This window comes from Homo sapiens, chromosome 3 (genome assembly GCF_000001405.40).
Source record: "Homo sapiens chromosome 3, GRCh38.p14 Primary Assembly".
Lineage (NCBI taxonomy): Eukaryota > Metazoa > Chordata > Mammalia > Primates > Hominidae > Homo > Homo sapiens.
In genome coordinates this window covers 36,774,512-36,786,392 of record NC_000003.12, presented here as the reverse complement: position 1 = coordinate 36,786,392, position 11,881 = coordinate 36,774,512, and the positions used below count along the sequence as shown (strand labels likewise).

General features: G+C 36.1%; 1 long non-coding RNA gene across 1 annotated transcript; it reads left to right on the top strand.

The window, feature by feature from the left end:
* The first annotated feature begins 2,107 nt into the window (after nt 1-2,107).
* LOC105377030 (uncharacterized) lies at nt 2,108-10,566 on the top strand. Its single transcript, XR_940722.2, has 3 exons — nt 2,108-2,260; nt 8,614-8,821; nt 10,234-10,566. It is a non-coding gene; the product is annotated as an uncharacterized LOC105377030 (long non-coding RNA).
* The last annotated feature ends 1,315 nt before the right edge of the window (nt 10,567-11,881 follow it).

Below are 11,881 nucleotides of genomic sequence, written 5' to 3'. Positions count from 1 at the left end.
ATTTTATGTATATGGAATTATCTGTTATCTGGCCTCTTTCACTCAAAGTAATGTCTATGAAATTTGTCTGTAGTAGTTGTAGATTGTCCATTCTCATGATATGAATACACAATTGGGTTGTGAATAAGCATTTGGGATGTTCTCAGTTGTGGGCTGTTATGAATTGTGCTGCTCTGAACATTTATGAACATGTCTTGATAAATATGCATTTCTGTTGGATGAATATGCTTAATGGTATAATTGCAGGGTCACAGGATGGTTGTATATGCAGCTTTAGCAGATATTATAGAATCATTTTCCAAAATGATGATACCATTTCACATTCTCACTAACAAGGTATGAGAGTTCCAATCTCTTCTCACACTCACCTACACTTGATATTCTGCACTGAAAAATTTTAATTTTTTAGCTATTCTGGTTGTTTTGTAGAGATATATCACTGGGGTTTTAATTTTCATTTTCCTAATGAGTGAACAGGGGAGCATCTTTTCAAAATTTTATTGGCCATTGTAGACTTTTCCAAGAGCATAAAATGATCACATCTGCATTCTAAGTAATCCTCTCTGGCTTTTGGTGTGGAATATCTATTTGTGGATGCAGCAGGAATCCAAACAGGGATTTGAGTTAGGAGATTGTGGCAGTGGTCAAGACCAAATGTGATGATAGCTTGGACTAGGGCAGAGGTAGTTGAGTTGGAAAGATGTAGATGAATTTGAAGGCCGTTTTGGAGGTAAAATTGTCAGGACCTGAAGGTGGATTAGATGCAGGGACTGAGAGAGAAGAAGGTATAAAAATTGTGGCTGCAAAATTTCTGGTTAACACACCATTTCTTCCTATTCTGAATTTTAGGTTTGAGATCATTTCATATATTTTCTTTAGGGTTTTTTGGTTACTTTCAAAAGCCTGGAGAAGAAAATTTTAATTGGAAAAAAGAAACACATCGAATATGGTAATTGAATATGACCTTTTTATTATTCATTTTTATTTGACATTTCTTTCTTATTCTCTCAGGTTTCTGAATTCTTGTTCCAGATGGCTCAGAAATGAAATAATCATAAGAACCTAGGTAAGTATTATATTGGTTGTGAGAAAATTCTCAGAAGCATAGGGCCCTTTAGAGACTGCTGGTCTGGCTGGTGAGGTAAAGAGTTTTGAGACATTTTTTATGACCTGCTCTTTCTGTGGCTTATTTCCATGCAGCTTCTGGGAAGGATGCAAATCTTGTGGAAATCAAAAGAGTCACCCAGGATCTTAACTAGACCCATGCTCAGAAAGCCCTCCCCAGAACTGGCAGGGACTGAGATGGATTCCTCTGAAAGATCTCTTGAGGCCTGAGGAGCAACCAGGGAGAGGAGAGCTACAGCCTAATTCCTGGCCAAAGCTCAAGGAGGCTATGGCCATGAGTGGCCATCAATTTCTTTAACATTTTTTATTCTTTTAAATAAGCCAAAAATTACTGTTTCTTTTCATGGCATAAAGCAAGTTCTTAACCAGGGCAGAAAGCCCTATCTCTGGCTTTCAACAAGGGAAGTAGGAACCTAAGCGATCGTGGGCCTTCATCTCTAGATCAGCATGGCAGGCATCAGCTGTGATTCATGGTGGTCTTGTCCACAGAGTCCATATTAGAATGGAGACTGTGGCACAGCAGCCACATCTATGAATTCTTTCTTGAGTTCTTTTTTTTTTAAGGGAGCTCCTTGTTACCCTGGCCTAACTACCCAGAACACTTCAGCAACTCTCACTCACATTAGCCAGCTTCCTCTGGGTGGTGTAGGCTGAACAGAAAGCAGGTATCTTGGGAGTCTCATTAGCTGGTCCCCGGAATGTCCCTGAGTCATGTTGAATGTTCCATGATTTAAGTCTCAGAAGAGTCATTGGCGTCTGTTAACAGAGCAGCATCAATTTTATGTCTCTAGAACACGTTTTTTTCCATGGAGCTGATTTCCTTTGGGCAATTCCCATGATGCACTGACTTTGTCTCTAACACACTTAAAGAAGAAAAATTTCATTGAGCATTGGGAAGTTTACAATAAACTCCCACACTTACACTCTTGGGATTTTCTTGGAATTTCCTGTCTGATCCAGATGTTTTCCTCTAACAATTTCCCAGATGTAAAGATAACCAAATTTCATCTGATGACATTTGCTTGGAATTTAATCAGTATTGTTCAGCTGAGGGCTCAAGATGTGTCTCTTAAAGCCCCAAATTCCCACTCAACTTCTCATAGCCATTATGACTGATTTAGCTGAATAACCTTGGGTAAGTCACTTAACCACTTGGAGTGTCTGATTTTTTTTTTTAAACATGTAAAATGGTGATAATAACTTCTCTCTCTGCTTTACATGTTTGCTTTGAGGATGAAATAAGCTAAGATCTGGGAACTTGCTCTGTGAAGGACTCCTCAAATGAGAATCATGACTGAGGCTGGCTTTACCTTCAGATCATTACCAACTGGACTGTGAAATTTGGTGAATTATTTGAAAACTCTTAAGCCTCAAATTAAATTTATTAGTCCCACGTTTTGCATTCCAGTGCCATTTTTTTAGGTTCCAGGCATTGCATTTAGAAATTTCCTTTAAGTCAATAAGATAGGTATGAATGTTAACCTGATTCACTTATTTTTCTCTGCCTTTAGATTGGAAATTCTACTGCTGCTAGGTAAAGAGTAGACTCACAAATAATATCTCTGATTTCTTGTGAACAGTTTCCTTAAGTCCAGGCTCACAGTAAAATGAGAAGGAGCCAAGTAAGTAGTATTTCCATAAACAACAGCAACAAAAAGATATTTACTTTGATTAAAAAAACAAGGATTACATACTCACATACTCAAAGCAAAAAACATCTAAACAGTGAGATCCAAAGATGTGTTATTTCCATGTCTATGGAAACCAATTACTGAGACAGATTAAGTATATGCATTGTTCATAATGTTTATATTCTCTTTGGCAATTATTCTTTAGAGTCTACATTTTGGATGGCTATCTAGCCTTGGCTTTGTATTGAAATGGTTTAAATGTTTTCCATCAGTTTTTTTATTACAAGTCTTTCATTCATGTCCTGTTGTTGGATTTATCACCATGTACCTCCACCAAGAAGGGCTCATAGATACTATTAATATATTTCTTGAGATCCTACATGTTTGAAAATGTCATTGCCTATATGCGTAAATGTCATTTGGAGTGAACATTGTCAAGTGGTCATGTCTCCTTTCTCTGAAGACTTTGGAAGTTTTGTTCCACTTTCTCAAGCTTAGAATGTTGCAGTGGGAAAGTGTTATCTGATTTGCTTCCCTTCATTATGAGTCATTTAATTTTCTTTCATATGTCCATTCTTTCTTTACATTTCAGGGCCAGTAACTTTACCAAGATATGGCTCAGTGTTAGTGTTTCTGAACTTTTTCAATCTAAAGATTTGAGGTTTTTAAAAAATAGGAACGTTTCCTTCCATTGTATCTCTGGATATTATCTTCTTGCTTCATTTGCTCAGTTCACTTCAGAGATGTAAATTATTTTCATGATGGATTTCCTATGCATGGCTTTTATTATTTATCGTTTTTCTAATACTCTTTAACATTTTTTGGTTTAACTTTCTTTCTCAAGTCTGTCTGAATTCTACATGCTTAACTATGTTTCCATTAATGTCTGTTCGTGGTTTTGCTCCTTCTAATATGGCTTTTATTTTTATAAAAAATTTAGTTTCCACTTTCACATATCTCCTGAGTTCTGCCAGCTTCTCTTTTACTTCTTTCTATTATATCATCATGTATTCCCTGAGCATTTGCTTTAGAAAAACCATAGATTCTTCAATTTGGTTGATATGATGGACAATCATTTGTTCAAAATTTCCCTGTAATTCATGGTGAGCTTCTGATGCCTATTCTTCATCTGCTTCTTCTTCTTTTTCTCCTATATTACCTAGGCTAGATCCTAAAGTGGTTTGTTTCTCATTATTGCTCATCTGTGAATGTAGACTGTTCTTTTCTGGTTTCTACCCTCTAAAGAAGAGCAAGGCTAAGAGATTTGAGAAGTGAACTAAAACTGTATGCACCTTAGATTGAAGATACTGGCTTAGAACATTTTTTTCACAAACCTTACCATACCCCAAGGAAATACTTCCGCCAGGGCTGAGCAGCGGGCCTACTTGGCTCATTTAGAAACTCATGTATAGAGATTTAGCATTTGCCTTCAATTTTAGCTGTTGAATATCAGCACTTGCAGAGCTAATTTTTACCCTGTCACATTGACTCCAAAGATCCTACAAAGATAATGGTCTGTGAGCCTTCTTGTCAGCTCCCTTCCTCTCCAACCACTCCGTGAAGAGTATAGCACAGGGATGTTCCCAGCCCCCTCTGCTCTAAGCAAGGGCATAATGGTTTAGTTTTTCAGACCATTTCCCTGTTTTCTGCTATGGGTCTGCAAAGACATAAGTCATTTTCCAGTAGCTCCCCTCTTTTTGGTTCAGCTTTCGTTGCACTTGGCAGCTGATCTTTTTAGATTGAGAATTTTGATATTTATTGTTTCCTAGTTTCACCAAAGGCAGAGCTATTTTACTTACTATTTTTTTTTTTTGGCTTCAGAAGAGAGAGTGGGATAGAAAAGGCTTAATTTTGCCAAATTTAACTGAAAGTCAAAAATGCATATTTATTTCTTTCTAAAGAGACCCAGTTTTGCATACAAATTCTTTGTGGCAAAGAGAATGGTAAAGTGACATCTAAACCACTAAACCACTGCTGTGTGCCCTATACGTATTGATGAATACTCACCTCTAGCAGTTTGGAACATTACGATGTCTTAGTGTGTTTACAAAAAGATCCTCCTTCTAAGAAGATGAATTAGAAGAAGACACTGAGCAGATGCAGCCCAAGAGCTCATAGTTGGGTCAGCTCATTAAACATTTATGTGCAAGAAATAATAATTTTCTTTGGTTGGATATGGCCCTGACTCAGAGCTTATGGTTTAGGGGTATGTTGGCTGGATATCATCTTCCTTTTACTTCTCTAAGAAGACCAATGGATCTCAAGCAAGACAATTAAAAAGAAATTCATGCCTAGACCCATCATAGTGAAACTACTGAACATTGAAGAAAAATAGATCTTATAGTCAGAGAAAGAAAGTAAATTATCTTAAAATAATGGCAATTAGTATGACTACTGACTTTTCAGTAGCAACAATGAAGCCAGAAGACACCAAACAAACATACTAATATCTTTGTATTCAATATACTGAGGGAGAAAAACTATCAACCTAAAATTTTACCCAGTGAAACTATTATTCAAAATGAGAATAAAATATGACACTTCTGAAAAACAAAAGCAGATGACTTTGTAACTAAAAGACGTTTGTTGAAGGAAATCCTAAAGGATGTACTTCAGAAAGAAGGTCCAAAGAAAAAAAAAACCAGAAAGAAGGTCTATAACCCCAACAAAAGTAAACCAAGATACTAGTATATCTATCTATCTATCTATCTATCTATCTATCTATCCATCTATCATCTATCTATCATCTATCTATCTATCTATTATCTATCATCTGTCATCTATCTATCTATCATCTATCTATTATCTATCTATCTATCATCTATCTATCTATTATCTATCTATCAATCTATCATCTATCTACCTATTATCTATCTATCATCTATCTATCTATCTATCTATCATCTATCTATTTTCTATCTATCATCTATCTATCTATCTATCTATCTATTATCTATCTATCATCTATCTATCATCTATCTATCTATCATCTATCTATCTATCTATCTATCTATCTATCTATCTATCTATCTATCATCTATCTGTCTATCGTCTATCTATCATCTATCTATCTATCTATCTATCTATCTATCTATCTATCTATCTATCTATCTAGATGTGACCGTGTAAAATAACAATATTGACTAAATCATAGGGACAATAGGCTATAACTAAAATACTGGAAAACAATGTAAGCCAAAAGCGGTTGATCAGAGTTAAAGCAGTCTAAATTCTTTATATTAATCAGGAGAAAGGTAAAGTATTGATTAAATTTAGGCTGTTAAAAATGCATGCATATTCAAGTTATAAGGATAACTTGAAAATACTAAAGTATAAGCTTTAAGTGTAAGCATAAAGCCCATAACTCACAAACAAGTACAGAGAAAATGGAATAAGAAAAAGAAAAAAAAGAAGACATCAATCCAAATAGAGCAAGAAAGGAGGGAAAAATAAACTTAAAATGGGACAAGTAGAAAACACATAATGAGAAAGTGGAAATAGATTTAAATATAAGAGGAAACACAGTGTATTTTATAGTTTAAAAGATTTTCAGATCAAATAAAAATCTCAAAACTTGGCTGTCTGATATTTATAATAAACTTTGAAACATAGGAACATAGAGAAATTTAAAGTCAAGGATAGTAAAAAGCAAATATTGATCAAAAGAAAGCTGTAATAGGTGTGTTAATATCAGGCAAAAATACACTTTAAATTAAAAGCACTATCACAGATAAAAGGAGCCACTATGTAATGGCAAAATGTATAATTCACTAGGAAAACAATCCTTTAAAACTTGTATGCAGCTAGGCCAGGCACAGTGGCTCACACCTGTAGTTCCAGCACTTTGGGAGGCCGAGGCGGGTGGATCACGAAGTCAGGAGTTTGAGACCAGCCTGACCAACATAGTGAAACCCTGTCTCTACTAAAAATACAAAAAATTAGCTGGGCATGGTGGTGGGCACCTGTAATTCCAGCTACTTGGGAGGCTGAGGCAGGAGAATCGCTTGAACCTGGGAGGTAGAGGTTGCAGTGAGCCGAGATCGCGCCGCTGAACTCCAGCCCGGGCGACAGTGCGAGACTCCATCTCAAAACAAACAAACAAACAAACAAACAAACAAATAAATAAAAAAACTTGTATGCAGCTAATAACATGATATCAGAATATATAAAGTAAAAATGGACAGATCAATAAGGAAAAGTAGGCAAATCTATTACAGTGAGACATTAAAAATATAACTCTCAATAATCAATAGATTATTGTGCTGCAGAAATTAAACAGAAACTAAAAGGACATTATGAATTACTTTTCGTCAATAAAATTTAAAATTTAGATGAATGAGAGAATTCTTGGAGACACATAGCTTGTGAAAATCAACTCTAGAAGAACCAGAGAGTCTGAATAGTTTTTTGTTTGTTTGTTTGTTTTCTTTTGTTTTGTTTTGAGATGAAGTCTCCCTCTGTTGCCCAGGCTGGAGTGTGGTGGTGTGACCTTGCATTGATCTGCAACCTATGCCTCCAGGGTTCAAGTGATTCTCCTGCCTCAGCCTCCCGAGTAGCTGGGATTACAGCCGTGAACCACCATGCCCAGCTAAGTTTTGTATTTTTAGTAGAGGTGGGGTTTTGCCATGTTGGTCAGGCTGGTCTCGAACTCCTGACCTCAAGTGATCCGCCCTCCTCAGCCTTCCAAATTGCTTGAACTGAGTAGTCTTATAGTGACATAATAAATTGAATCAGGTGTTCGAAATCTTCCCACTAAGAAAATACTAGGCCCAGACGGCTTTACAGGTAAGTTTTATAAAACATAGAACAACTAATTTTAATCTTAAATTTACTGTTCCAAACAATATAAGAAAATGTAATAGTTTATTTTAAGAAGCAGCCTGTCATAAATTTGATATAAAAATCTCAACATATTAAAAACTTAATATAAAAGGAGAGGATGAGTAAGGTAAATTATAGACCACTTTTACTCATAAATAGAGATTCAAACATCCTAAAGAAAATATTATCAAACCAAATTCAGCAATGCATGAAAACCACAATAAATTATAATCCAGTTCGGTTACTCTAAGAACATAAGATTGTTTTAATTCCAGAAAACCAATTACATACATTGACATATGGTTAATTATTACCATATCAAGGGATGAAAACCATATGATTGTTCCAGCAGATAAAGAAAAAAATTTACTAAAAATCAACATAAATGTATTATGCAAAGCTCTTAGCAAACTAAGAATAGACAGGAATTTATTTAACCTCAATAAATGTCATCAATTAAAACTACAGCAAATATCATGCTTAAAAATGTAATGTGGAAAGCATTCCTTTCGGTTAGACAGGAGTAAAGTAACCTTATAATTTATCCAAACCAGGGCACTTTATTTTTTAATAAAACTATAGACTTGGTTTAGATTTAGCCAGTCTTTCTACCAGTGTCCTTCTGTTTCAGGATTCAATTCATAACCTTATGCTGCATTAGTTGTCATGTCTGCTTGGTTTTCCCCTTCAATCTGTAACAGTTCCTCAGGCTTTCTTTGTCTTTCATGACCTTGACACTTTTGAAGAGCACTGGCAGGTACCTTGTAGAATATGTCTCAAATTGGGTTTCTCTGGTGCTTTCTCATGGTTAAAGAGAGACCATGGGTTTCAGGAAGAAAATCACAGAGGTAATTGCAATGTGGTTTGCAGTTCCTCTCTTCAAGAAGTGAAGTCTGTATCTTCTACTTAAATCTGAGCTAGAATTGAGACTTGCTTTGGACAATAGAATGTGATGGAAAGGATGTTGTGTTAATTCAGAGCCTAGATCTCAAATGGTCTTACACACTGCTGCTTGTTCTCTTGGGATACTGCCCAGCTACCATGTGCTCAGGCTTGGGCTCACCTGTTAAATGACTAGAGACTGCTTGGAGCAGAGGCAAGTCTGCCAGCCAAGGCTGTCTTAGACCAGACAACCCCCAGCCAACCTATCAGCTGACTGCAGGTGCGTGAGTGAACACAGTCAAGACATGAAGAACTGCCCATCTGAGCCCTGCCTAAATCATTAACACCAACTCATTACCTAAGTAAGTGGTTTTGATTATAAGTCACTAAGTTCTGGGGTTATTACACAGCAAAAACGAATACACTTGCATTCCAGCCTGCAACAGTATGGTGTAGTAAATGAACATAGACTTTGGTGTCAAGCAGACCTACCTTTGTTATTAGCTGTGTGCTTTGGGGGACTCACTCCATCTGATTCATTTTTGAAATGGGCATAACAATTTCTACACAAAGATCAGAATAACTAAGACAATTCGAATAAAGCTAGCAACACAGAGCTTAGCACATAATAGATGCTGTATAATTGAGGTTCTGTCTAAGAACCAAGGTGATACCTTCTTAAAATTCAAGGTGTAGGAGGTACCATTCTTCTGGGAACCAAGTCTTCTGTCACTGATTGTGTGTCATTTGCTTTCATTTGTCAGAGAAAATATTCTTTAAACTATACCTTGACTATTTTCATTACCAGCAATTTCACTTTGCACTCTTCAACTTCTGTTTTCCTAAAGACTAAGATAAATAGTGACTATCTCTGCAAGACATTTGATTGACGATAACCTTGTTGTTCTGCACCAGAGATCTCTAGAGATCTGGGGCACAAAGTTCTGTATGCACAAAGGCATAAAGTAAATCCTACCCATTCTTTAAAACAAAAGTTATCATCTTGCCAAATGCTGTGGAATTACATAATTATCAGTTTTGCTTGTTAGATAATTGTGCTTTTTAAATGCTTTCCTGAAAATAGCCCTTTAAAATCTACATTTGCTACCTTCTCTGACTTAAGTATAATTCAAGGGGGTTTGTCCACATTTTCTTATTGCTAAAATACTGTGAAAAACGACATTACTAAAAGTGAACCAGAAAAAAGTTAGGACATTTTTTTTTCTTCCTTATTCTCTTCTCTGACACAGAAGAGGCTGTTTCATTTCCCTGGGTCTCATGTTCTCCACCCACTCTCAGTGTAAGTGGGATGGTCTAAAGATTCATGCAACACTTGCAGAATTTTTGAAATTTCAAACTAGGAAGATTCTATGCAAGTGTAAAAGACAAAGACAAGGACTCATACAAAAGACAATGGATATTAAGACGGAGCCATGACTGCCTTGCTCTCAGATTGCAAAAAGAGCTGTGCTTCAGTTGTTTTTCTTTTTAACATGCTTATTCAGGAATTTATTCTGTTTTTCAATTTAAACCACTCATGGGGATTTGGACCAAGCAATTTACCAACTTTAGTTAAATAAATAATCACAATTTTTAAATATTACAAAGCATGATATTAAAATCAAGACTGATAATAAATAAAATAGATCAGCACCAAGAGGGAAAAGAGTATACATATTTTTTTTTGTTTTTTGTTTTCTAAGCTATCTATATCTGTCAGCTTGAGCAACAGATCAGGCTATCTGACTAGCTGTTTTCTTCCTACTCTTTTTAGGCACTCAGGACACAGGTCCAGGATCTAGCTCTGCTATTTGGTTTGGATATTGGAATTGCACTATCACATAGAAGTTATGGAGCAATTTCTTGCTGAAGACCACACTCACTCAAAGTCTGTTAGATCGACAGTTGCATTGCACTCAGAGTTCAGAAGGGTGAATGTTTGATTTTGGAAGAGAATACTACTTGCTTCCCTTATCTTGTACTTGATTAATTTGGCCTGGGAAAGAATTTCTTCATGGTCTGGTACGGTGTTTGAATGTGACTTTTAAACATGCCCAATAATATGATATTGACTTCTTTCTGTGATGAATGGAGAAAATAAAGTGTTAGAAAAAAAATTCTACTCAGTGATAGATTCATTTGCACCACAGCTCAACCTCCTTATGAAATTCTGATAACTTATCTTTGATATTTACAACTGTGATATTTTAGCCCTGAAGTTAAAAGCTTAGCCTCTCTAAGATACTGAATATATCACTGACACTTGCCACTTGGAATCATAAAAGAAGTCTTTTCTTATGGCATGGGAACACCATTTTTATAAGCTCATCTTTGTCTCCATAGTTTATGTAAACACACTTCTGACTGTAATCATACTCGAGTGTGGGGAAACCAGAGCTATTCTTGTTGCCCATTTCTTCTTGGAGCAACTGAGAAGGCAGACACTTGCTGTGATTTGATCCAGGATTTTCACTGGCTCCTTTGATATTATACTATGGCCAAGAGGTCACACTTTTGACCACTGACTGTTCTCTGTCACTAAAGCTGTATATGGGTGGGCCTGCAGGAGCAGACTCTTAACTGTATAGGAATATTCTTTTTTGCTTTTTGTGTGGCTGATGTTCCATCAGCCCTGATGTTAACACTTATTTTCCAGTTTACAACACAACACCCCAATCTTTTCTTGTGGAGCACAAAAGTCATTCAGCACTTCTCCCTTATACCTGTGGCATACATGTCAAGTGTAGGATTATATTTTGCAATGCTTCGTTCAAATCTAAGCTGAAGTCACTTCTGTCACACACACTCATAATACAGATTGCTCTTTCCTATTGTATTCCACTGATTTTATGTGACTCTCCATATTGTCATTGGAAGTCACAGGGGACTTTTGCCAATAGCATTTTCTGCTTTCTCTCCACGCGTGATTCTTTCATGATGGTTGTGACTGGTTTTATGGGATACTTTCTTCTGTTTTTGCTGTGAGGAGTATAACTTGGAGTGATGCACCCATTGCTTTAGTCTTTTTTTTTTTTGTCCATTAATTATTAATTTATCAGTTTTATGCTGGAACACATGCTTTATTCTGGGGGTTGGGGAAGTCATTGGATTGTCTATAACTATGGCTGTGTCAATGTGCTTAGTTTGAAAAATGACAAAAAGTATAGGTGATTTCCTGCAAGTTTTTGACAGAGTTTCAAGATAGACAGCTCTTGAGGATCAGGGTTAGGAGACTGCTGATCCAGGGATTGTCAGATTTTATTTCTTATCTGTTGAACTTCCAGTTGGCTTTAAAAAAAAACAAAAACAAAAACAAAATCTTATAACTATGTGAAATCACACATTAGTTCTAGCATTATTCACTTGTTCTGGCACAGACAGATTAATATTTACTACTTCTACTGGAATCTTCTTCACTATGT